The sequence below is a fragment of the Homo sapiens genome, chromosome 3 (genome assembly GCF_000001405.40).
Source record: "Homo sapiens chromosome 3, GRCh38.p14 Primary Assembly".
Lineage (NCBI taxonomy): Eukaryota > Metazoa > Chordata > Mammalia > Primates > Hominidae > Homo > Homo sapiens.
In genome coordinates, this window is record NC_000003.12 from 161,259,794 (window position 1) to 161,287,793 (window position 28,000).

At 38.8% G+C, this 28,000-nt stretch overlaps 1 long non-coding RNA gene across 4 annotated transcripts, besides 1 other annotated feature; it reads left to right on the top strand.

Annotated features, from left to right (window-relative positions):
- Positions 1-23: 23 nt before the first annotated feature.
- LOC105374187 (uncharacterized) lies at positions 24-27,982 on the top strand. 4 transcript variants are annotated; one of them, XR_001740993.2, is made up of 3 exons: positions 24-10,229; positions 11,262-11,983; positions 24,924-27,982. It is a non-coding gene; the product is annotated as an uncharacterized LOC105374187 (long non-coding RNA). The 4 variants fall into 4 exon arrangements; XR_001740994.2 differs by lacking the exon at positions 24-10,229 and having other exon boundaries at positions 10,992-11,983; positions 24,924-25,132; positions 25,301-27,982; XR_007096151.1 differs by lacking the exon at positions 11,262-11,983.
- Positions 15,000-15,049: an enhancer, noted in NCBI's record as "active region_20769". NCBI's record gives its function as "activates an Ori minimal core promoter by ATAC-STARR-seq in GM12878 lymphoblastoid cells {active_cell/tissue: GM12878}" and the evidence as "EXISTENCE:reporter gene assay evidence [ECO:0000049][PMID:35858748]".
- Positions 27,983-28,000: the final 18 nt, after the last annotated feature.

Below are 28,000 nucleotides of genomic sequence, written 5' to 3' on the forward strand. Positions count from 1 at the left end.
TCACTTTATTTTTTGTTTTTAATTTTTAATTCTTATCTGTGGGTATATAATTGGTATATATATTTATGGAGTATATGAGATATTTTGATATGGACATACAATGTATAAAAATCACATGCGGGTAAGTGGGATATCCATCACATCAAGCATTTATCCTTTGTGTTACAAACAATCCAATTATACTCTTGATTTTTTTTTCTTATTTCACTTAAAGTATCTTGGTTGTTTTAAAATGTACAATTATTATTGACTATAGTCACCCTGTTATGCTATCAAATACTACATCTTATTCTCTTTTTTTGTACCCATTAAAACCATCCCCACTTCCCCCAAACCTTCCCCACTACCCTTCCCAGCCTTTGGTAACCATCATTCTACTCTCTTATCTCTGTGAGTTCAGTGGTTTTAATTTTTAGCTCCCACAAATAAGTGAGAACATGTGAAGTGTGTCTTTCTGTGCCTAGCTTAGTTCACTTAACATAGTGATCTCCAGCTTCCTCCATGTTGTTGCAAATGACAGGATCTCATCCTTTTTATGGCTGAGTAGTACTCCATTGTGTATAAGTGCCACATTTTCTCTATCCATTCATCTGTTGATGGACACTTAGGTTGTTTCCAAATCTTGGCTGTTGTAAATAGTGCTGCAGTAAACGTGAGAATGCAGATATCCCTTCGATATACTGATTTCCTTTCTTTTGGGTATATACCTAGCAGTGGTATTATGGGATCAAATGATAGCTCTGTTTTTAACTTTTTGAGGAACCATAGTGGTTGTACTAATTTACATTCCCAACAGCAGTGTACGAGGGTTCCCTTTTCTCCACAGCCTTGCCAGCATTTGTTATTGCCTGTCTTTTGGAAAAAAAGCTATTTTAACTGGAGTGAGATAGTATCTGATTGTAGTTTTGATTTGCATTTCTCTGATAATCAGTGATGTTGAGCACCTTTTCACCTGTTTGCCATTTGTATATGAAATGTATATTGAGAAATGTCTATTCAAATCTTTGCCCATACTTTGATTGGATTATTAGATTTTTTCCTATAGAGTTGTTTGAGCTCCTTATGTATTCTGGTTATTAATTCCAGAAGGATAGTTTGCAAATATATTCTCCCATTCTGTGGGTTTTGTCTTCACTTCGTTGTTTTCTTTGCTGTGCAGAAGCTTTTTAATTTTATGTGATCTTATTTATCCATTTTTGTTTTGGTTGCCTGTACTTGTGAGGTATTACTCAAGAAATCTTTGCTCAGACCAATCTCCTGGAGAGATTCTCTCATGTTTTCTCTTATTAGTTTCATAGTTTGAGGTCTTAGATTTAAGTCTTCAATTCATTTTTTTAATTTTTGTATGTGGTAGGATGGGTCTAATTTCATTCTTCTGCATATTGATAATCCAGTTTTCCCAGCATTGGGGAAAGAAACTGTCCTTTCCCCAATGTATGTGCTTGGCATCTTTGTCAAAAATGAGCTCATGGCGGATATATGGATTTATTTCTGGGTTCTCTTCTGTTTTATTGGTCTGTGTCTATTTTTATGCCAGTACCATGCTGTTTTGGTTACTATAGCTCTGTGGTATAATTTGAAGCAGGTAATGTGATTCCTCCAATTTTCTTCTTTTTGCTTCAGATAGCTTTGGCTATTCTGGGTCTTTTGTGGTTTCATGTAAATTTTAGGATTTTTTTTTCCATTTCTGTGAAGAATGTCATTGATACTTTGATAGGGATTGCATTGAATCTGTAAATTGCTTTGGGTAGTATAGACATTTTAACAATATTGATTCTTTTAATTAATGAACATGGGATATCTTTCTATTTTTTTGTGTCCTCTTCAATTTACAAAGTACATCAACTTTTTATAGTTTTCATTGTAGAGATCTTTCACTTTGTTTAATTCCTAGGTATTTAATTTTATTTGTAGCTGTTGTAAATGAAATTATTGATTTCCTTTTCAGATTATTGTTGGCTTATAGAAATGCTACTGATTTTTATATGTTGATTTTTTATCTTACAACTTTAGTGAATTTGTTAGTTAGTTCTAATAGTTTTTTGGTGGTCTTTAGGTTTTTCCGATTAAAATATCATATCATTGGCAAACAATGATAATTTGACTTCTTTCTTTCCAATTTGGATGTCCTTTATTTCTTTCTCTTGCCTGATTGCTCCAGCTAGGACTTCCAGTGCTATGACAAATAACAGTGGTGAAAGTGAGCATCCTTGTGTTTCAGATCCTAGAGGAAAGGAAGGCTTTCAGTTTTTTCCCATTCAGCATGATACTAGTGGTGAGTCTATCATATATGGTTTTTATTATGTTGAGGCATGTTCTTTCTATACTCAATTTTTTTTAGGGTTTTTATCCTGAACAGATGTTGAGTTTTATCAAATGCTTGTTTTAGCATCAGTTGAAATGATCATTTGTTTTTGTCCTTCATTCTGTTAACATGGGGTATCACGTTGATTGATTTGCATATGTTGAACTATTTTTGCAGCCCTGGGATAAATTCCATTTGGTCGTGATGAATGATCTTTTTAATATGTTGTTGAATTTTGTTTGCTAGTATTTTGTTGAGGATTTTTAGATCAATATTTATCAGTGATGCTGGCCTATAGTTTTTTTTTTCTTTTTATGTGTGTCTGGTTTTGGCATCAGAGTAATAATGGCCTCATAGGATCAGTTTGGAAGTATTCCCTCCTGCTTTATTTTTTAGAATAGTTTGAGTAGGATTGGTATTAGTTCTTCCTTAAATGTTTGCTAGAATTCAGCAGTGAAGCCATCAGGTCCCAGGCTTTTCTTTGCTGGGAGACTTTTTGGCTTTGATCTTGTTATTTTTTATATGTCTGTTCAGATTTTGGATTTCTTCATGGTTCAATCTTGCTAGGTTTTATGTGTCTAGGAATATATCCATTTCTTCTAGGTTTTCTCATTTATTGGCACATACTTGTTCATTGTAGTCTCTAATGATCCTTCTAATTTCTACAGTATTGGTTATAATGTCTCCTTTTTCACCTCTGATTTTATTTATTTGGGTCTTCTTTTTTTTTTCTTAGTCTGGCTAAAAGGTCACCAATTTTGTTTATCTTTTCAGAAAAACCAACCATTTGTTGATCTTTTGTATTTTATTTCAATTTCATTTATATCTGCTCTGATCTTTATTATTTCTTCTACTAATTTTTGATTTGGTTTGGTCTTGCTTTTCTAGTTCTTTAAGATGCATTGTTAGATTGTTTTCTCTGATGTCACTTTGTAGTGCCCTTTTACTTTTATTCTGACCTTTGGAGATTAGAATGAGGTGTAAATTCTGAGCCTGAGCCTCAGAGATTGCATGTTTCCTCTCGGGCCTCTGCCATTGCTGTGAGCACATGTTTAGTTAAATCTGTTAGAGGAAGTGAGGGAGAACAAACCCAGGTTGCCGCACCTGAAGCCAGCTAACCCTCAGACATGTAAGCAAGCACAGCTAAAATCAGTAGAGCTGCCTAGCCAAACCCCAACTCATCCCAGACACATGAGCAATAAACTTGTATGCCCCTGAGGATTTGTGGTTGATACAGAGCATTGTTGTGACATTAGACAGTTAATATTGTGACATACGAACACTGAATTAACAATTTTTGTGGCTGGGCATTTCTAGGTTTTTTCTTTTTCTTTTTTCCCATAAAAATTTGTTTCATTTCTCATTATTTTCTGAGAATATATATGTAAGGATGAATTTACTGTGTCAAAGAGCATATAAGAATCTCAGTACATAGAAAAATCCTTTTTAGAAAGGTCGTACCTACCATGTAATGCAGTTTATGAGATTGCCTCTTTTACAGTCTTACTGTTCTTGATGTTTGGTATGTTTTCTCTTTTAATGTTTTCTAGGCTCACTTTAGGTGAAGCCCAGTCTGTAGTGATCTGTTAGATGAACTTCTGTAGCAGTTACAATCTGTTCTACGTGGTTAGTTTTATAAACCTCCTGAGTTATTATCATTAACATTTTTATATGTATGTCTTTCTCTCCAACTAGGCTATATATTTCCTTAGGGCAGCACAAATATAGCACAATGCATAGGTCCTCAAGTATGTAGTTAGTAGTACAATCTGATTTGAGCTACAATTTTGAAAAATGAGTGGTCTTTTTGGGTGGGTATTGCTTTGCTTTAAATAACTCTTTGAGAGTCCACTCATGAAGCAAGAAGTCAAGCAGATTTTTAAGGCTTTGGAGAGGTGGTAAATAGAACTTATAGAGAGAGTTGTCCATATTGGTCAAGACTTTATTTTGTTTGTAGAAGCCAAATGTGCATCTAATCCTATACATTGTTAAATTTTATGAGTAGTGCTGTGTCTGGAGTTGTTTCCTTCTGGTGGGTTCATGGTCTCGCTGACTTCAAGAATGGAGCCATGGACCTTCACAGTGAGTGTTACGGCTCTTAAAGATGGCACAGACCCAAAGAGTGAGCAAGATTTATTGTGAAGAGCAAAAGAATAAACCTTCTACAGCCTGGAAGAGGACCTGAGTGGGTTCTGGCTGCTGGCTGAGATGGCCAGCTTTTATTCCCATATTTGTCCCCTCCTATGTCCTGTTTCTGTCCTATCAGAATGCCCTTTTCTCAATCCTCCTTGCGATTGGTTACTTTTAGAATCTTGCTGATTGGTCCATTTTCCAGAGTGCTGATTGGTCCATTTTACAGAGCGTTGATTGGTGCATTTTACAAACCTCTTGCTAGCTACAGAGCACTGACTGGTGCGTTTTACAATCCTAGCTACAGAGCGCTGATTGGTGCGTTTTACAATCCTCTTGTAAGACAGAAAAGTTCTCCAAGTCCCCACTGGACCCAGGAAGTCCAGCTGGCTTCACCTCTCAGTGCTAATTAGTCAACCACAGAAGTCTGATATTGTAGTATTAGCACAGACTGTTCAGTTTTAACACACAGTAAATTATTTTCTTCCTCCAGAGAATTTTATTGTGTATAATGTCACATATGTTATTTATAAATAATCCTGTGGACAGACAACTACAAATGACCTATACAGAGAAGAAAAACTATTGGGAGATATTCAAGAACTAGAAAATATGTCTGGTAGTTTTCCTGTGTTTATGGATTTGGACCAGAATAATGCTAATGGGCTGACTACTCAACAAAGGACAAGATAAATCAGTGTACATGTGGATTCAAGAGTGTTCTATACTAAGAGAGTGCTGTAGAAGTCCCCATGGAATGTTACTAGATTCCTGGGATGATGATACTGAATAGTCTGGAATGTGGCATTCTTTGTCTCAAAGAGAGTCTTTAAAAAAATCTGTGTTCTGATGGTAGAGTTCCAATTTTGGCATTTTGCCTTCTGTGATAATAGATAGACTTTGACTCTAGGTAAATTTGTGGTGGAGCAAAAGTTCGTTTGGGGTTGTTCCACTTACCCCTTACTCTTTGCCCTCCCTAGTCATGTTTGTCCTCTTTTCTTTCTTTATAGGCAATGGCCTGATACTCATAGTCAGGAATAAATAAATAGTTATGGTTTAAAATATTATTCTTGAGAGTATTTTCATCTTTGTCTGGGAACAAACATGCTTATTTGTACTTGAGTTCTTGTCCTTCTACCATCATCACTGGAAAAACATCTCTGGGTAGTCACTGCCTCCCCAAACTGGACTCAGGATGGAACTTTTGAAGCAGTGTTACCTACCCCAAACAACTCAAACCCATAAGTATGAGAATAAATGATTATTTTAAGCCACTGAGTTTTGGGGGTGGTTTCTTATGCAGCATTATTGGCAATAGCTGACTGATACTCTCTACATCTTTAAAATTCATTTCACTGTGCAACTTCTGATGGGTAATGCTTGCTCTGATTATAGAAGTAGGGCAACCCTCTTTCCCCAAACACCTACTAGGGTTAAAGTTCAGATGATAGTAGATGTACCCCTATCGATTCTTTTAAAGTAGCTTGACTTTTTCTGCTAGTGTTGTCTTGAGTGGGTTAGTTAATCCCCATACATTATTTCTACACATTACAGGTTTTACTGGTTTTAATAGTACTCTGGAAGGTGGCTTGAGGTGGAGGAGTGATATGGTTTGGGTCTGTGTCCCCACCCAAATCTCATGTTGAATTGTAATTCCTGATGTTGGGGAAGGGACATGGAGGGAGGTGATTGGATCATGGGGGAATGGTTTCCCCTATGCTGTTCTTGTGATAGTAAGTGAGTTCTCATGAGATCTGACGGTTTTATAAGTGTTTGGCTCCTCCCCCACCCCATTCTGCCACCATGTAAAGAAGGTGCTTGCTTTCCCTTCGTCTTCTGCCATGATTGTAAATTTCCTGAGGCCTTCCAGTCATGCTTCCTGTTAAGCCTGTGAAACTATGAGTCAATTAAACTTCTTTTCTTCATAAATTACCCAGTCTCAGATTTCTTTATAGCAGTGTGAAAACGGACTAATATACAAGGAGGGATTGGGGAGGCTAAGAAGACATAACTCCAAGTGTTCTTAGTCTTACTTCAGGCTGGGCCGCCTCTTATTTCAGATATTGGCTTGTGGCAGTGTCAGTTTCCTAGTTTTGATCCTGTACTATGTTATGTGAGATGTTACCATTGGGGGAGGCTGGGTGAAGACTACAGTTGACCCTTGAACAACACGCATTTGAACTGTGAGGATTCACTTGTAGGTGGATTTTTTTTCAATAAATATATTAGAAAATATTTTGAAGATTTGCAACAATTTGAAAAAACAGACAAACCATGTAGCCTAGAAATATCAAAAAATTAAGAAAAATTAGATATGGCATGAATGCATAAAATGTATGCTAGTCTATTTTATCATTTACTGCCATAAAATATACAAAAATATATTATAGAAAATTAACATTTAACAAAACTTAGGCACACAAACACATACATGGCGCCATTCACCATCGAGAAATGTAAACAGATCTAAAATTGATTTATTAGTCATAACTTCATAAAATTAACTGTAATAAAACAGTACTATTGTAATAATTTTGTGGCCACTTCCTGTTGCTATTGTAGTGAGCTCATGTTGGAAGTATCCACTTAAAATGCCATGTGACCCTAATCATCTCGGCATGAGCAGCTCATTTCTCTGGTAAATTGCTTATCACATTAAAAAGTGATCTCTCTTGGTTCTTGCATGTTTTTTATTGTGTTCAGTGCAATACTGTAAACTTTAAATAACACCATGGGACCCCTATGAAATGCCACTAGTAATGCTGGAAGTGCTCCCAAGAAGCAGAGAAAAATCATGACAAGAAAAAGTTGAGTTGCTTAATATGTACTATAGATTGAGGTTTGCAGCTGTGTCCACTATTTCAGACAGATGATTCACCTTGTAAACAGATGATGTAAACTTACAGTATTGATAAATACAACACAGTACTGTAAATGTATTTTCTCCTCTTGATTTTCTTAATAACATTTTCTTTTCTCTAGCTTACTTTATTGTAAGAATACAGTATATAATATATATAACATACAAAATATGTGTTAATTGACTATGTTATTGTGAAGACTTCCAGTCCACAGTAGGCTGTTAGTAGTTAAATTTTGGGGGATGATACGTGGATTTTCAATGGTGTAGGTGGCGGGCATCCCTAACCCCCATGCTGTTGAAGGATCAGTTGTACATTAAATTTTTTTTCTGTGCATCTATAATTATTTCAGAATAAAGTTAAGAGTTAAAAGTATTGCCATATTATATAATGCTAATATAAGAGGATTATATATTAGCTAATATATATAAATATATCTTAAAAATGTATTATATATTTTTTCCTCTAATATTAGCTAGTATTACAATACTGTGCTTATATAATGTTTACAAGGTGAATAATATATATATACTAGCTAATATAAGCTAATGTTAGAGGAAAAGAGATAATTCTTCCTTTGTTACATGATTTATTTAAAGAAACGAGTGAATATTGACAGTTTATTGAGCAATCTATCCATCACTGATCTCTGAGGTGTTCTTTAGAGAAAAGTTAATGTGACAGAAAGAGTGTGTGTATGTTTATTCAGTCCCATCTAATCTAATTTAGAAGAGTTGCATGAAAGGACCCATTTGTTTTTTTTAGTTGTTATTGTTAATGTTAGCAAAAGGGAAGGAGATGATATTAGATAAAGAAAAAGAGAAAAGCAGATCGTCTTTTATGTGAGGTTATTGTTAGGGAGGTGGCACGTAAGAGAGGACTGGCAATTTTCAATTTTGGCAATCCAGAATGACTTCTGTCTTAGAAAATGAAAAGCAATTTATTTTCTTTAGGAGTGTTTAGCACTGTGAATGTTCACAGAAACATGTTTGTTTGCTGTCAGATATGTGGGAATAAGCTGAAGCCCATAAAAGTTGGATGGAGACTTAGCAACTTGGGAAATAAAATATTCTGACAGTTTCTAGCTTTGGACTTCAACCTATTTCAGTGATAGTAACATCAATGTCCTATGCTTTTCCCCATGGTTCTGTGATTTGACAATGTACAGTGTAAGCAAGAATAAGAGAAATACTTTTTCTTTTTTAAAAGATAATTTTAAAGGTTGTGATATGGCTTGTCTTAGTACTTCTTTTGGTATTTCAAAATACCTTATGATAAGAGACAATCTAACATGGGAAATAGTGAAACCACCTTTGCAAAATTATAACTGAGGAAATTATGATAATGAAAGAAATCAGATATAACCGATTCCATCTTGCTTCCAACCTTTAAGCTGTCCTTGTTCATTCCTGGGCATAGGCTGAACTAACCTTGGGAAGGAATTCAGTTCATGGTTTGACTCTGAAACAAAATTGATAAAAATTTTGTTTCCCAAAAAGACCCCTTTCTCACCTGGGGGCCAGTCTGCCTTTGTAGGACTAACAAATTAGTTACAAGATTAGAAATCACAGTTCAGGGGTCATGCAACCCCTGGCTCCAAGAGTCTGAACCTCCCCAGATTGCTCCTGGGGAGAACATCACTACTGTAAAACCTAAGATCAGTCCTTGAGATATTTTTCAGACTCTGTACTTACTGGGTCAGCTGAGACCATCCAGACCGGTAATCTGGCTCAACCAGTTCTGCCATCTCACCCAGGAACAGAAGACAGCAAGAAAAACTGACTTCGACTCCCTATGATTCCATCTCCAATCTGACCAATCAGCACTCCCCAATTCCCAAGACCCTACCCGCCAAATTATCTTTAAAAACTCTGATCCCATATGGGGAGACTGATTTGAGTAATAATAAAACTCTGGTCTCCTGCACAGCTGCTCTGTGTGAATTACTCTTTCTCCACTGCAATTCCCCTGTCTTGATAAATTGGCTGTCTAGGCAGCGGGTTGAGGTGAACCCATTGGGCAGTTAGAATAGGTCTGATAATATCTTCACGTATTCTGGCACGCCGCACTAACTAAACTTTGGAAAGTTTAGCAGCAGATCTATGGAAACTTATTTAATTTTACCCCAGCATATGAATAAATTTATCAAGAAGGAAGCGAAATTGGTTATGTCACTTTATTTTATAACTATTTTGTCCACATTTTCCTTTTTCTAAGGAATGAATATTTACTTGAAAGGCCCACAGACATTATTTAGTTATCTTTACCATGCATTTGTTTCTTTTAATATGGCACCATGTGGAAGTGTAGTTTTGCTCAACTCATACGTGTGTGAAAGAAAGCATAGTGAATATGACTAAGTGCATAGGCCCAGGAACCAGATGACCTGGGTTTAAATCCCAGCTCTTACTGTGACCCTCAGGCAAGTGCCTTCTTTTAACTCAGTTTCCTCATCTGTAAAACAGGAATTTCATTGTTTAAAATTGTGGGGTCCAATTATTCTGAGGTTAATAGTAAAGCAGTATTTTTCAGGTGCCCTGGCACAAAAGGGCTGGAAGTGCAAAAAGAAAGACAAATGGGACTGGAGCAATAAAATGGAAGATGAAGGGGTGATATCCAGAGATCAGAAATTGGAGATGCCCCTGGGCTGGCTGCTGCACCATTGGAGGCACTGTTAGAGTCAAGCTTGGATCTGCTGAAGAGGTGTCACTCAGCCAAAGGGTGCTGCCTCTGCCCTAGCTGGTCATCTGGATTCACTTCATTCACATAGCAGCAAGAGTATCTGCCACCAACTACCATACATTTGGAGTCAAGAGCCTTTCTCTTTTTTTTTTCAGCCTTCTCAGTTCCTTTCAGTGCCTAACAAGAGAAGCAAGAGAGCCTGGAAATGTAGTTTGATACCTCCCAGCCCTAGATGTTCACAGTATAGAAGGGTAGGTGGACTGAAAAACAACAGGTAAATAAGCTGTACAAAGACTTCATAATGTGCATATATCTTTTATAGTCAGTAACTGTGGCTGTCTCTAGGAAGGAGAACTCAGGGGCTGGAACATAGCAGTGGAGGGATACATTATTTTCACTCCTGGTTTTGGGGCTTTGTTTTTAAGGCCTTTAGATCCATAGAATTGAATTGATTATTTTCAGTTCATTGCACACTGATTTTGGTCCTTGTAAGTCATTATGCTCATTCCTTTCTCCCATTGTCACTCATGCCATGGATGTCTACTTCCCATACTTCTATGTAGATACATTGATATATATATATATATATATATATATATATATATATATATATATATATATATATATATTCACACTGTTATTTATGGTTTAAATTTAAAGAAATACTGTTGTGCTATCCATTTTCCCACGGTTGGGCATCTAAGTTGCCTGCAATTATTTTGCACAATGCTGAGATAAAGAGCTTCATCTTGGCCGGGTGCGGTGGCTCACGCCAGTAATCCCAGCACTTTGGGAGGCCGAGGCGGGCGGATCACGAGGTCAGGAGATCGAGACCGTCCTGGCTAACACGGTGAAACCCAGTCTCTACTAAAAATACAAAAAATTAGCCGGGTGTGGTGGCGGGCGCCTGTAGTCCCAGCTACTTGGAAGGCTGAGGCAGGAGAATGGCGTGAACCCGGGAGGCGGAGCTTGCAGTGAGCAGAGATTGCGCCACTGCACTCCAGCCTGGGCAACAGAGGGAGACTCCGTCTCAGGAAAAAGAAAAAAAAAAAGAGCCTCATCTTTTTCTTTTCTTTTCTTTTGAGGCTTTGTTGAGAGTTTCTGGGATACATACCCAGTGTGGTAGGCAGCCTCTAAAACGGCTCCCATTGATTTCTGCCTCCTGATATTCATGCTTTTTTTTAATGCCCTTCCTTTTAATATGGACTAGGTCTAGTGATTTTTTTCTAACAAAGAGAATATGTCAAATGTAACGCGATGTCACTTCTAAAATTGGTTTACAGAGAGACTGTGACTTCTGTCTTGCTCGCCATTTCTCATTCTCTCTTTTTGGAGCTCTTGCTCTGGAGGAAGTGAGCTGCCATGTTATAAACTGCCCTATGAAGAGGTCCATGTGACAAGGAACTGATGTCCCTGGCCAACAGCCAGTGAGGCCCTAAGGCCTGCAACACTCTGTGAGTGAGCCTGGAAATGAATCTTCTGAGCCTACCAACAACCACACTGATCCTTAAAATGGCTATAGCTCCAGGTCCTTGATTGCAGTCTTTCAAAAGACTGTGATTCAGGGCATTCAGGAAAGTCATGTTTGAATTTTTGACCCACGGAAACTTTGAGATAATAAGTGTTGTTTTATTATTTATTTTTAAGCCACCAAATCGGGGAGTAATTTGTTACACAGAAATAGAAAGTACATCCAGGAATGTGACTGTTGGGTTGTAGGATGCATATGTAGGGGGAAAATAACTCCCATACGTTTGTAATCGGAAAAGATCCCCGTTACAAAAGACAGATTAACAAGAGAAAAACAAGTTTATTAACGTGTATTTCATATGTACAAGGGAGATATCAATGATTAGTTCTCAAAGAAGTAGCTTTGAATTCTAGCTTTTATTTTATTTTCAACAAAGAAGAGTAAATTTTTAGAGAAGTGACAGCACAAAGGAAAAGGACTTGGAGTCTCTACAAGCAGCAACTTGTGGGGAAGGCAAACAAATGGCAGATAAAGGTTAGTAAAGCTTGTGAAAATAAATTTCCTCTGGTATCATTTCAAGGCTGATGAGGGTCTAAAGCTGTCTTCAGTGGTTAACCTCTGTTGTCTGTGGTAAAGAAGGGGTGGCAGGATACCTTTTTTCTTATAAATCTACGTTCTGCTTTCAGGCAGGTGGAGGGAGGGCAGAGAGCTCTCCTGCATCTGCTCCTTCTTCTTTTTTTTTTTTCTGGAGCCAGAATCTCATCTGTCACCCAGGCTGGAGTGCAGTGGCACCATCTCGGCTCACTGCAACTTCTGCTTCCCGGGTTCAAGTGATTCTCATGCCTCAGCCTCCCAAGTAGCTGGAATTACAGGCGCCCGCCACCACACCCGGCTAATTTTTGTGTATTTAGTAGAGATGGGGTTTCACCATGTTGGCCAGGCTGGTCTCAAACTCCTGACCTAAAGTGATCCACCTGCCTCGGCCTCCCAAAGTGCTGGAATTACAGGCTTGAGCCACTGTGCCCGGCCCATCTGCTGCTTCTTAATAATCTTTGGCTCAACAATCTTTTATTTAGGGGAAGCATATTCTGGTCTCTCACAGATAGCTAACTATAAGGACTGTCAAATTTCTTTCCTACCAGCAGTACATGAAGGTTTCTGTTTCCTCATAGTTTCACTAACACTTGATAATATCCGGCTTTTTCCCCCTAATTTTTGATAGGTATAAAGTGATATTCTAATTATATTTATTTGATTACATGCTGAGTATCCTTTCATATTACTCAATGGTTATTTAGTTTCCATCCTGGTCAGTATTTCTTCATACTCTTTGATTTTCCTTTCATGTTGATTTGAAGAAATTTCTTATATAATAGCCTTTGTTGGTTTTAGACATGGAAAATATATTGTTTGTTAAGTTTGTGTACGATGTCATTTGCTAAGCAAATATTTAACTTTGATGTAGTTATAGCCATAAATTTCTTCCTTTTTTTTTCTTTTTTTGAGGCAGGTTCTCATTGTCACCTAGGCTGGAGTGTAGTGGCACCATCACAGGTCACTGTAGCCTTGACCTCCTGGGCTCAGTGATCCTCCTGCCTCAGCCTTTTGAGTAGCTGGGATAACAGGTGTGTGCCAGCATGCCTGGTGAATTTTATTTTTATTTTTTGTGGAGACGGGGTCCCACCATGTTGCCCAGGCTAGTCTTGAACTCTTGGGCTCAAGCCATCCTCCTGCCTCGGCCTCCCAAAGTGGGATTACAGGCGTGAGCCACCATGCCCGGCCCATAAATTCTTTTTCTTTAAGGTTTGTGCTTCCCTGAGTCTTGTTTAGGAAGGACCACGGATGCCATAATTTAGATTTTTTTAAATAAGTAAAGGCCTTTGCTTTAAAAACTGTTGAATGAAGTGCCTTTAAAAATATGAACGAGGGTCGGGCGCATTGGCTCATGCCTGTAATCCCAACACTTTGGGAGGTTGAGGTGGGCAGATCATGAAGTCAGGAGATTGAGACCATCCTGGCCAACATGGAGAAACCTCGTCTCTACTAAAAATACAAAAAATTAGACGGGCATGGTGGCACGTGCCTGTAGTCCCAGCTACTTGGGAGGCTGAGGCAGGAGAATCCCTTGAACCCAGTAGGCGGAGGTTGCAGTGAGCCAAAATCACGCCACTGCACTCCAGCCTGGGCAACAGAGCAAGACTCCATCTCAGAAAAAACAAAAAAAATATGATCGAACACTGATGATCTTTTATTGCTCATCTCATCGGAATTTTCTTTGCATTACCACTATCAAGTACTTATTTTACAAATACTGTGGTAACTGTTAACCTATTCACAAATCTGGATAAAGATGAGATATGGCCTTTTAGTAAGTGACCCAAGTCAGGTTGACTGGAGAATCTAGTAAGAGTGAATTGAAATATTGATCCCCAAATTTCAGAAACTGTAAGATAAATATGTTGCAAAATAATAAAAATGTGTTTTCCTAATTTTTTTCCCCTCAGTGAAGGGGGAAAAACTTCTAATTCTTTTAAACAATAATTTTAGGTTCAATTAAAATGGCCACCAGGTGGCACCAATGCCTGATAAGTACTTCTGAAAATCAGAAGCATTATTCTCATACTTAAAATCTGTTAAAATTGACATTATAATTAAGGAGATAATTCTGGTCCCCTCCTAATTAGTCTTCAAGAAACTCTTTTTAGGCTCCAAGTTAGATGAAGTGTCTTGTCTCTGTGATCCTATGGCTAACAGTACTCACCAATTACTCTGTAATTGTTTACCTGAGTCTGTTTCTACTCGAGGTAGAGATCAGGACATTTTCAGCCTCACTAGGCCCCGAATAACGTGGCTTTTATTTATTTTTCTGGTAAACATTTGGTTATGAGTTAAAGCCAGGTTTGGGAGAAGTAAAATCTAAAATGTAGACTTTCCAATTTAAATAGGTCTTTCAATACTTATAAAATCTACAGGCTTGGGAAAATAGTGAAAATAAACATTTCGTTGTTTAAATTTTATATTTTGAATTGATAATGAAAAAAATAGTCAAAATTCTCTTCCTCATTCACTGGTCTGATCCACAAGTTCCCTTTCATTTTGGGAAATGGGCCTACAAGACACTTATGGCCCTTGAAAAATAAGTTTTATGAATGAGTATGTCCAAGGACTACAAGGCTGACTTCAAAGCAACAGTCTGGACTCCAAGTACGAAACTTAAAAAAAATCATTTATTCTAAATGGCACTAATGAGACTCAGGCTGCGTCTGTATCTGAGTATACTAGAAAGTCTCTATCAGCTGCTTCCCTTTTATCTTCTTAGAGATGACATCTTTTCTGTATGGTTGGTGCATTGAGAGACTCAGCCAAGTATCAGGCTTTCCATCCATGGGACACATGTCTCCGGAACCTTCCAGCTGTTCACTTGTGACCAATACTCAGAATGCCTTTACTATTGAATACACTTTTAAAAATGATCAATACCAACATTCCCCAAAGTGTGATTAGTGAAGCGATAGTCCTTCAAGAAACTACCTGTACTTGGGGAAAAAAAGTATCCTATCCTTGTTTCTGTCTTTGCAGCTTGTATTATCATATTGAAGACTCTGAAGCCCTTCAGCAGTGGTTCTCAATGGAGTGGTACCGCCCCCTAGGGGACATTTTGTAAATTTGTGGGAGTGTTTTTGTTGTCACAATAATTGGTCAGAAGCCATGGATACATGCTAGGTAACATTCGGCGCATCTAACAATGCTATAGAAGCAAGAATTGTCCTTCAACCCCTGGGACTTTCATTTGTCCTGACAATCATGTAGCTAAAAATATGTATCTAATTAAGCCTACTACTAATTGTGTTTAACATGTCAATACAAAGTTATTAGGATTTTATAGTAGACACTTGAATGTCTTAGGAATACATTATAGGAATGACAATATAAATCAAGGAGTACTTAGGAATGACAACATAAATCAAGGAAAGATTGTATCAAAAATAATTTTTTAAAAAGACATGGTCTTGAGGCCTGCAGGGGAAAATGGTGAATAGGCAGGACTAACTTGTAGCTCCCACTTGGACTGACAGAACAGCATGTGGAGACCACATCGTGAACTTTTGCTCCAAGAACTGCTGCAAGAACATACCAGGAAAACAGAAAGAATTCACAGACCCTTTGAAATAAGCGGCTTGCCACTGCAAACTCCAAGAAACAGCCGAAAAACTGTGAGTGCCCAAAGTGTGAGAGGGTGAAAGTCCACCTCTGAACACACATCCTCACCGAGGAGCTTGAAAATCTGGATCACGGGAGAGGGATTTAACCTTACCTAGAGCTGAAATGAATTTAGAGAGTGGAGAGAAATATAAAAGTAGAAGAGGCAGCAGGAAAGGCCTGTAGGCACTTCTGGCATCCAAGGAAGCCCAGGGAACCTATTTTGACTTTATTTCACAGGGGTCTCTGGGGAGGGCTGCCAGTGGAATTGCGGAAAGACCACAGGAAGAAGGAAACTTCCAGCTGAACTTTGTAGTAATTTCGACCAAGTGTGAATTTTCCAGGGCAGAATCCAGGGTTGGGGGCAAACGGGAAGTGCAGACACAGGCACAGAAGCCACAGCAGGAGGGGTGAAGCCTGAAAGCCCTGCTTGCTTTCTCAGAGGAGAGGCTTGTAGCTTGGGGCCAGTTCCAAGCCCTGCTCACCAGCTGCCTGGTTATAAAGTCCGTGTTGGGGGAGCACACTGGGAGTGAGACTGGCCTTTCTGGCTACCTGGGAGCTGGGTGAAGCCTGTCACAGCTGGCTTTCCCTCACTGACTTGGAGACTTGTCTGATGCAGCAGAGACAGCCATAATCCCTTTGGCATGAGAAACACACCCATATCTCCCACAGCAGGTGCAGCAAGCCCCACCCAAGGAGAGTCTGAGCTCAGACACGCCTAAACTTGCCCCACCTGATGGTCTTTCTCCACCTGCCCTGGTAGCTGAAGACAAAAGACATAATCTCATGGGAGCTCTATGGCCCTGCCCACCACCTGAGAAACCTGAATACTTATCCAGGTGACCCTAGGGCAAGCTTGTATCCTCCCTATGCTACCACAGCTGATGCTGCTTTGAAAGTGCCACCTCCCGGCTGGAGGCCAACCAACACAGCAACTCATAAAATAACAACCCTTCCCCCAAGAAGGAAAAAACAGCTAACTCCACTGCCTGTGACATCTTGGCTAACCAGAGGTCCTAAGTCTGTCCATGTGACAACTTTACTGCCAGCACAACTAGCATTCATGAAAAGTCGCACACTAAACAAAACTACAACCAAGGCCCCACACAGAGTCCACCTTATTCCCCGGCTACCTCCACCAGAGCAGGTGCTGGTATCCACTGCTGAGAGACCTGAAGACAGATGACATCACAGGACTCTTTGCAGATACTTTCCAGTACCAGCCTGGAGCCTGGTAGCTCTGCTGGGTGGATAGACCCAGAAGAGAAATAACAATCACTGCAGTCCAGCTCTCAGGAACCCCCATCCTTAGGGAAAGGGGGAGAGCACCACATTAAGGGAGCACTCCACGGGACAAAAGGATCTGAAGAGCAGCCCTTGGGTCCCAGATATTTCTCTGATATAGTTTACCCAAATGAGAAGGAACCAACAAAACAATTCTGGTAATATGACAAAACAAGGTTCTTTAATACCCCAAAAGATCACACTAGCTCACCAGCAATGGATCCAAACCAAGAAGAAATCTTTCAATTGCCAGAAAAAGAATTCAGAAAGTCAATTAGTAAGCTACTCAAGGAGGTACCAGAGAAAGGTGAATAGGAGTTTAAAGAAATTTAAAAAATTTTACAGGATATGGATGGGAAAATCTCCAGAGAAATAGACATCACAAGTCAAAAACAATCACAGCTTCTGGAAATGAAAGACACACTTAGAGAAATGCAAAATACATTGGAAAGTCCAACAATAGAATTGAACAAGTTGAAGAAAGAACTTCAGAGCTTGACACAAGGATTTTGAATTAACCCAATCTGACAAAGAAAAAAGAGTTTAAAAAAATGAACAAAGCCTCCAAGAAGTCTGGGATTATGTTAAATGACCAAACCTAAGAATAATTGGTGTTCCTGAGGAAGAAGAGAAATCTAAAAGTTTGGAAAACATATTTGAAGGAATAATTGAGGAAAATTTCCCTGACCTTGCTAGAGATCTGTGGGAGTTAAGGCAGGCTGGTGGGAAAAATTTTCAGGATAGTTATAAGAAATAGACACAAACCTTCTATGGAACCTGAAGGGGTTTGCATAACTTCAGTAATAGATCTGGCTGAAGGCAGCCTAATCCTCTTACCTTAAGTAAATAGCTTAAAGTAGGTACAAAGGAATGTAAGGGAGTTTACCTAAATAACTTGTTTACTCATGTGGTCCTAAAATTAACTTTTGATCATTTGCGGGCAGGATGGCTCTCTTGGGGGGAGGGGACCAGGTTAGTTAACCTCTAGTGATGTTGACTCAAAGCCTTTGTCATTTAATATATGCTGAATAAATTCCAGCAGGGCCAGTTAATCAGGGTCTCGGCTGCTACAACTCTTTTGGTCAGTGGCCTCACCCCCTAAGCCCACTCTTTCACTGAATATCAGTGTCTGAGTACGTTATTCATCTGTTGTGCAGCTGGGGTCTGTGAGATGGACCCTGGCAGAGATCTGGACATCCAAATACAAGAAGCCGAAAGAACACTTGGGAAGTTCATCACAAAAAGATCATTACCTAGGCACATAGTCATCGGATTATCTAAAGTAAAAACGAAGGAAACAGTCATAAGAGCTGTGAGGCAAAAGCATCAGGTAACCTATAAAGGAAAACCTATCAGATTAACAGCAGATTTCTCAGCAGGAACCCTCCAAGCTAGAAGGGATTGTGTTCCTATCTTTAGCCTCCTTAAACAAAACAATTATCAGCCAAGAATTTTGTATCCAGCAAAACTAAGCCTCATAAATGAAGGAAAGATACAGTCCTTTTCAGGCAAAAAAATGCTGAGAGAATTTGCCACTACCAAGCCGGCACTACAAGAACTGTTAAAAGGAGCTCTACATCTCTACATCTTGAAACAAATCCTCAAAATACACCAAAATAGAATGTTCTTAGAGGATAATTGTCACATGACCTATAAAACAATAACACTATTACAAAAAAAAAGGTATTCGGGCAACCGCTAGCACCATGAATAGAATAGTACCTCATCTCAAGACTAATGCTGGATGGAAATTGCCTAAATGCTCCACTTTTTTTTGAGACAGAGTTTCGCTCTTGTTGCCCAGGCTGGAGTGCAATGGCACGATCTCAGCTCACTGCAACCTCCACCTCCCTGGCTCACGTGATTCTCCTGCCTCTGCCTCCCAAGTAGCTGGGATTACAGGCATGTACCACCACGCCTGGCTAATTTTGTATTTTTAGAAGAGACGGGGTTTCTCCATGTTAGGCTGGTCTCAAACTCCTGATGTCAGGTGATCTGCCCACCTCGGCCTCCCAAAGTGCTGGGATTACAGGCGTCAGCCACCGCACCTGGCCAAATGCTCCATTTAAAAGATATAGAATGGCAGAATGGATAAGAATTCACCAATTAAGTATCTGCTATGTTCAAGACACTCTCCTAACACACAAGGACTCACATAAACTTAAGGTAAAGAGGTGGGAATAGACATTCCATGCAAATGAACACCAAAAGTGAACAGGAGTAGCTATTCTTATATCAGACAAAACAGATTTTAAAGTGACAATATCTCAAAAAGACAAAGAGGGTCATTATGTAATGATAAGAGTCTAGTCCAATAGGAATATATGACAATCCTAAATATATATGCACCTAACACTGGAGCTCCCAAATTTATAAAACAATTACTACTAGACCTAAGAAATGAGATAGATGGCAACTCAATAATAGTGGGGAACTTTAATACTCTACTGACAGTACTAGACAGGTAATCAAGACAGAAGGTCAACAAAGAAACAACAGACTTAAACTATACTCTAGAACCAATGGACTTAACAGATATTTACAGAATATTCTACCCAGCAACTGCAGAATATACATTCTGTTTATAAGCACATGGAACATTCTCCAAGATAGACCATATGATAGGCCACAAGAAAAGTCTCAATAAATTTAAGGAAATTGAAATTATATGAAGTACTTTCTCAGACCACAGTGGAATAAAATTGAAAATCAACTCTGAAAGGAACCTGCAAAACCATGCAAATATATGGAAATTAAATAATTTGCTCCTGAATGATCATTGGGTCAACAATGAAATCAAGATGGAAATTAAGAAGTTTCTTTGAATTAAACGATAATAGTGATACAACCTATTAAAACCTTGGGGATACAGCAAAAGCAGTGATAAGAGGAAAATTCATAGCATTAAATGCCTACATCAAAAAGTCTGAAAGAGCGCAAATGGGCAATCCAAGGTCACACCTCAAGGAACTAGAGAAACAAGAATAAATCAAACCCAAACCCAGAAGAAGAGAAGAAATAACAAAGATCAGAGCAAAACTAAATGAAATTGAAACAAAAAACAAATACAAAAGGTAAATGAAACAAAAAGCTAGTTCTTTGAAAAGATAAACAAAATTGATAGACCATTACAAGATTAACCAAGAAAAGAGAAGATCCAAATAAACTCAATTAGAAACAAAATGGAAGCTATTACAACTGATACCACAGAAATACAAAAGATCATACAAGGCTACTATGAACTCCTTTATGCACACAAACTAGGAAACCTAGAGGAGATTGATAAACTCCTAGAAAAATACAACCCTTCTAGATTAAACCAGGAAGAAATAGAAACTCTAAAACTCTGTTTAGAGTTGAAAAAAAATTCGCAAAGTTTTTTTTTTTTTAATTTTTTGAGACACGGTCTTGCTGTGTCATCCAGGCTGGAGTGAAGTGGCACAGCCTGGCTCACTGCAATGTCCGCATCCCAAGTTCAAATGATTCTCATGCCTCAGCCTTCCAAGTAGCTGGGATTGCAGGTGCATACCACCATGCCCTGCTAATTTTTGTATTTTTAGTAGAGATGGGGTTTCACCATGTTGGCCAGGCTGGTCTCAAACTCCTGACCTCAGGTGATTTGCCTGCCTTGGCCTTCCAAAGTGCTGGGATTACGGGCATGAGCCACTGCACCTGGCCATGCCAACAATTTAATTTTTTTTTCAAGATGGAGTCTTGCTCTGTCGCCCAGACTGGAGTGCAATGGTGTGATCTCAGTTCACTGCAACCTCTGCCTCTTGGGTTGAAGTGATTCTTCTGCCTCAGCCTCCTGAGTAGCTGGGATTACAGTCACATGCCACCACGCCCGGCGAATTTTTTGTATTTTTAGTAGATATGGAGTTTCACTATGTTGGCCAGGCTGGTCTCGAACTTCTGACCTCGTGATCCACCTGCCTTGACGTCCCATAGTGCTGGGATTACAGGTGTGAGCCTGGCTGACAACAAGTTTTTTAGCGAAAATTTGCCTAAAATTTTTTAGTAAAAAATTTTTTTGCAGCAAGATTGAAATGGCAATTAAAAAAACACCAAAAAGAAAAAAAGTCCAGGATTAGCAGATTCATAGCTGAATTCTATCAGACATTCAAAGAAGAATCAGTACCAATCTTGTTGACACTATTCCAAAAGATAAAGAGGGAATCTTCCCCAAATCAAACTAGGAAGCCAGTATCACCCTAATAGCAAAACGATGAAAGGACATAACCAAAAAAGAAAACTACAGACCAATATTCCTGATGAACATAGATGCAAAAAATCTCGACAAAATACTAGCTAACCAAATCCAACAGCATAAAGATAATCTACCATGATCAAGTGGATTTCATACAAGGCATGCAGGGATGGTTTAACATATGCAAGCCAATGAATGTGATACACCACATAAACAGAATTAAAAACAAAAATTACATGATCATTTCAATAGATGCAGAAAAAGCATTTGACAAAATCCAGCATCCCTTTATGATTAAAAACCTTAGCAAAATCGGCATAGAAAGGGCACACCTTAAAGTAATAAAAACCACCTATGACAAACCCACAGCCAACATTATACTGAATGGGGAAGAGTTGAGTGCATTCCCCCTGAGAATTAGAACAAGACAAGGATGCTCACTTTCACTGCTTCTATTTAACATAGTACTGGAAGTCCTAGCCAGAGAAATCAGACCAAAGGAAGAAATAAAGGGCATCCAAATCAGTAAAGAGGAAATCTAACTGTCGCTGTTCATAGATGATAAGATCGTATACATAGAAAACCCAAAGGACTCATCCAAAAAGCTTCTGGAACTGATAGACGAATTCAGTAAAGTTTCGGGATACAAAATCAATGTACATAAATCAGTAGCACTGCTATACACCAATAGCGACCAAGCTGAGAAACAAATCAAGAACTCAACCCCTTTTGTAATAGCTGCAAAAACAAACAAACAAACAAAGAAAAAAAAAACCTAGGCATATACCTAACCAAGGAAGTGAAAGATCTGTATAAGGTAAACTGCAAAACACTGCTGAAAGAAATCGTAGATTACACAAACAAGTGGAAACACATCCCATGCTCGTGAATGGGTAGAGTCAATATTATGAAAATGACCATACTGCCAAAAGCAATTTACAAATTCAATGCAATTTCCATGAAAATACCATCATCATTCTTCACAAAACTAGAAAACACAATCTTAAAGTTCATATGGACCAAAAAAGACCTGCATAGCCAAAGGAAGACTAAGCAAAAAGAACAAATCTGGAGGCATCACATTATCCAACTTCAAACTATACTTATAAGGCTATAGTCACCAAAACAGCATAAGTACTGACATAAAAATAGGCACATAGACCAATTAAACAGACTAGAGAATCCATAAATAAAGCCAAATACTTACGGCCAACTGATCTTCAACAAAGCAAACAAAAACATAAATTGGGGGAAGGACACCGTGTATTAGTCAGGGTTCTCTAGAGGGACAGAACTAACAGTATATATGTACATATGAAAGAGAGTTTATTAAGGAGAGTTGACTCACATCATCACAAGGTGAAGTCCCACTATAGGCTGTCTACGAGTTGAGAAGCTAGGAAGCCACTCCGAGTCCCAAAGCCTCAAAAGTAAGGAAGCTGACAGTGCAGCCTTCAGTCTGTGGCTGAAGGCCGAAGAGCCCCTGGCAAACCACTGGTGTAAGTCCAAAAGTCCAAAAGCTGAAGAACTTGGAGTCTGATGTACAAGGGCAGGAAGCATCCAGCAAGGGAGAAAGGTGAAAATTGGAAGACTCAGCAAGTCTGTTCATTCCACCTTCTTCTGCCTGCTTTATCTTGCTGTGCAGGCAGCCGGGGGGATGGTGCCCATCCAGATTAAGGGTGAGTCTGCCTCTCCCAGTCCACTGACTCAAATGTTAATCTCCTCTAGCAACACCCTCACAGACACACCCAGAAACAACTTTGCATCCTTCAATCCAATCAAGTTGACACTTAATATTAACCAACACAACACGCTATTCAACAAATAGTGTTGGGATAATTGGCAAGCTACGTGTAGAGGAATGAAATTGGATCCTCATATCTCACCTTATACAAAATTCAACTCAGGATGCATCAAAGACTCAAATCTAAGACCTGAAACCATAAAAATTCTAGAAGATAATGTCAGAAAAACCCTTCTAGACATGGGCTTAGGCAAAGAGTTAATGACCAAGAACCCAAAAGCAAATGCAACAAAAACAAAGATAAATTGATGTGACTTAATTAAACTAAAAACCTTCTGCACAGCAAAAGAAATAATCAGCATAGTAAACAGACAACCTACAGAGTGGGGGAAAATCTTTGCAAACTATGCATCTGACAAAGGACTAATATCCAGAATCTACAAGGAACTCAAACAAATCAGCAAGAAAAAAAGCAAACAATCCCATCAAAAAGTAGGCTAAGGACATGAATAGACAATTCTCAAAAGAAGATATACAATGGCCAACAAACATGTACAAAATGCTCAACATCACTAATTATCAGGGAAATGCAAATCAAAACCACAATGAGATACCACCTTACTCCTGAAAGAATGGCCATAATTAAAAAATTAAAAAATAATAGATGTTGGCATGGATGTGGTGAAAGGGGAACACTTTTATACTGCTGGTGGCAACATAAACTAGTACAACCACTATGGAAAACAGTATGGAGACTGGCTGGGCATGGTGGCTCACACCTGTAATCTCGGCACTTTGGAAGGCCAAGACAGCCAGATCACTTGAGGTTATGAGTTTGAGACCAGCCTGGCCAACATGGTGAAACTCCATCTGTACTAAAAATACAAAAATTAGCTGGGCATGGTGGTGTGCACCTGTAATCCTAGCTACTCAGGAGGCTGAGGCAGGAGAATCACTTGAACCCGGGAGGTGGAGGTTGCAGTGAGCCAAGATCACAGCACTGTACTCCAGTCTGGGTGACACAGCGAGACTCTACCAAAAAAAAAAAAAAAAAAAAAAAAAAAAAAAGAACTAAAAGTAGATCAGCCATCCCACCACTGGGTATCTACCCAGAGGAAAAGAAGCGATTATATGAAAAAGACACTTGAACATACATGTTTATAGTAGCATAATTCACAACTGCAAAAATATGGAACCCGCTCAAATGCCCATCAATCAAGTGAATAAAGAAAATATGGTATGTATGTATACCATGCAATACCACTCAGCTAAAAAAAAAAAAAATAGTCATTTGCATTCTAGATAGAATTGGAGACCATTATTCTAAGTGAAGTAACTCAGGAATAACAAACATCGTTATGTTCTCACTTATAAGTGGGAGCTAAGCTATGAGGACACAAAGGCATAAGAATGATACAGTGGACTTTGGGGACTCAGGGGAAGGCGGGGGCAAGATGAAAGACTACACACTGGGTACAGTGTACATTAGTTGGGTGATGGGTGCACCAAAATCTCAGAAACCACCACTAAAGAGCTTATCCATGTAACCAAACACCAACTGTTCCCCCCAAACTATTGAAATAATAATAATAATAATAATAATAATAATAATAATAAAAGACATGGTTGTGTTATGGTGTCTAGGCTGAATTGCAATAGTTATTCACAGGTGTAATCATAGTGCACTGTGGCCTCATACTCCTGACCTCAAGTGATCCTCCTGCCTCAGCCTCCCCAGTAGCTGGGTGTATTTCGTTTTGTTTGGAGCTTTGCCAAAAATTGTTTCTTCTTTCAGAAAGGCATATCGTGAACAGACACCACTAGTTGTATTTGAGTAGCTGATACAGCACAACTGTGTAGCCTGTGTTTGTAAGCTGTCACATTCACAGTTATTCTGCATATAGATGCAAGCATATGACTACTTGTTTTTTGGTTTATACGTGACCAACATTTGCATATTAAAATACACATTATGTTGTTGTTGTCAGCCTTTCTGGAAATTACGTTTATATAGGACATATCTGTGAATTTTGTTTCAGGATGGTAAAGGAGGTGGTGTTACATTTCTGTACTGCTGGTGCATTGAGAGACCCAAGCAAGTATCAGGCTTTTCATCCGTGGAACACATGCTCCAGAACCTTCTAGCTGTTCACTTGTGATGGATACTCTGTTAGCCTTCACTATTGAATGCACTTTTAAAAATGATCAAAACCAACATTTCCCACAGTATGAAATGTTTGCAAAAAAGGTATGTTGGGTTTGTTAGGGCTAGAAATTGTTATTCTAAGTAAAGAAACCTGGAGAATTTTCCTAAGCCAGCTAAATTTATTCGACAACAGTACAGTTTTATTTGATGCCTGCTGCTAAGTTTAATTAAGTTATTTGCTGGGTTTTCCATTTGTCCCTCTGACTTTAGTGTAAACTTATTACTCATCCAAGATGTGGGCCAATGCTTCTTTTCAAACTTGTGCTAACTAATAACAGAGACCAGAGCTGGAACTTAGTCAAGGCAAAGCTACAAGCCAAACAGTGGTGGAGAAGGGTGGAACATGTCGTGACTTGAGGTAATGATGAGCATGTGGGTGAAGTGAGGGGCAGTAAGACCATATGGGGAACGCTGAGGCCAAGTGGGTGTGTGTCAATGGAGGGCATGCATGCATAGGGTTGGGCACTGGGCACTCCCCGTATAACCACTAACAGATTAAAAACTCTGGTACTTTTGCTGATTCCTTAAATAAGGGAATATATGGAATTTTGTATAAGTCTCAGTTGTGATGAATTGTTCCTCAGTTGTGATGAATTGTTTCTGCAGTTAACCAAATTGGGATTTGGAACATTTAAAAGCCTGATATACAATGTACAAAATTCAGTAGCACTTCTGTACTTCTTTTTTTGTTTTTTTGAGTCAGGGTCTCACTCTGTCACCAGGCTGGAGTGTAGTGGTGCGATCTCAGCTCACGGCAACCTTTGCCTCCCAGGCTCATGTGATACTCCCAACTCAGCCTCCCAAGTAGCTGGGACTACAGGCATGCATCACCACGTCCAGCTAATTTCTGTATCTTTTGGTAGAGATGGGGGTTTTGCTATGTTGCCTAGGCTGGTCTCGAACTCCTGAGCTCAGGCGATCTGCCTGTGTCAGCCTCCCAAGGTGCTTGGATTACAGGCGTGAGCCACTGTGCCCTGCCAAAAATCAGTAGCACTTCTAGATACCAACAACATCTAAGCTAAGAACCAAATCAAGAATGCAATCTCATTCACAATAGCCACAAGAAGAATGAAATACCCAGGAATACAGCTAACCAGGGAGTGAAAGATCTGTACAATGAGAATTACAAAACACTGCTGAAAGAAATCAGAGATGACACAAACAAATGGAAAAATGTTTCATGCTCATGAATAGGAAAAATCAATATTGTTAAAATGGACATATTGCCCGAAGTGATTTACAGATTCAATGTGATTCCTATCAAACTACCAATGACATTCTTTACAGAATTAGAAAAAGTTTTTTCTTATTTAAAATTCATATAGAAACAAAAAAGAGCCTGAATAGCCAAAGCAATTCTAAACAAAAAGAACAAAGCTGGAAGCATCACATTATCCTACTTCAAACTATGTTACGAGTCTACAGTGACCAAAACAGCATGGTACTGTACAAAAACAGACACATAGACCAATGGAACCAAATAGAGTGCCCAGAAATAAAGCTGCACACCTGCAACCATCTGATCTTTGACAAAGTCAATGAAAACAAGCAATAGGGAAAGGACTCCCTGTTTAATAAATCATGCTGGGATAGCTTGCTCGCCATATGCAGAAGATTGAAACTGGACCCCTACCTTTCACCATATAGAAAAATTAACTCAAGATGGATTAAAGACTTATATGTAAAACCTAAAACTATAAAAACTCTCGTAGAAAACCTAGGAAATACCATTCCAGACATAGGCCCTGGCAAAGATTTCATGATGAAGGTGCCAAAAGCAATTGCAACAAAAACAAAAATTGGCAAATGGGACCTAGTTATACTAAAGACCTTCTGCACAGCAAAAGAAACAATCAACAGAGTAAACAGATAATCCACAGAATGGGGGAAAATATTTGCAAACTATGAATCTGACAAAGGTCTAATATTCAGGATCTAAAAGGAGCTTAAACAAATTAACAAGCAAAAACCAAGCAACTCCCTTAAACAGTGGGCAAAGGGCATGAACGCTTTTCAAAAGAAGGCATAACAAATGGCCAACAAGCATATGAAAAAATGTCCAACATCACTAATCACTAGAGAAATGCAAATCAAAACCACAATGAGATAGATACCATTTTCCACCAGTCAGAATGACTATTACTAAAAGGTCAAAAAATAACAGATGCTGGTGAGGTTGTAGGAAAAAGGGAACGCTTATGCACTACTGGTGGGAATGTAAATTAGTTCAGCCCCCATGGAAAGCAGTTTGGTGATTTCTCAAAGAACTTAAAACAGAACTACCATTCAACCCAACAATCCCATTATTGGGTATATACCCAAAGGAATATAAATCATTCTACCATAAAGACACATGCATGCATATGTTCATTGCAGCACTATTCACAATGGCAAAGACATGGAATCAACCTAGATGCCCATCAACAGTAGACTGGATAAAGAAAATGTGGTACATATACATATGGAGTACTATGCAGCCATAAAAATTAATAAGATCATGTCCTTTACAGCAACATGGTTGGAGCTGGAGTTATTTTAAGTTATTCTAAGAAAACTAACCTAGGAACCAAAAACCAAATGCTGTGTGTTCTCACTTATAAGTGGGAGCTAAACATTGGTACATATGGACACAAAGAAGGGAACAATAGGCACTGGGACCTACTTGAGGGTGGAGGGTGGGAAGCAGGTGAAGATCAAAAAACTACCTTGGATACCATGTTTATTACTAGGTGATGAAATAATCTATACACCAAACTCCTGCAACATGCAATTTACATATATTACAAACCTGCACATATACTCCTGAAACTAAGTGTTTTTCTTAAAATTAATGTAAAGATAGTTTGCTTTACATTCCTCTTACCACATGCAACAGGTCACATGCATCATAAAGAAAAGAAATAGGCCGGG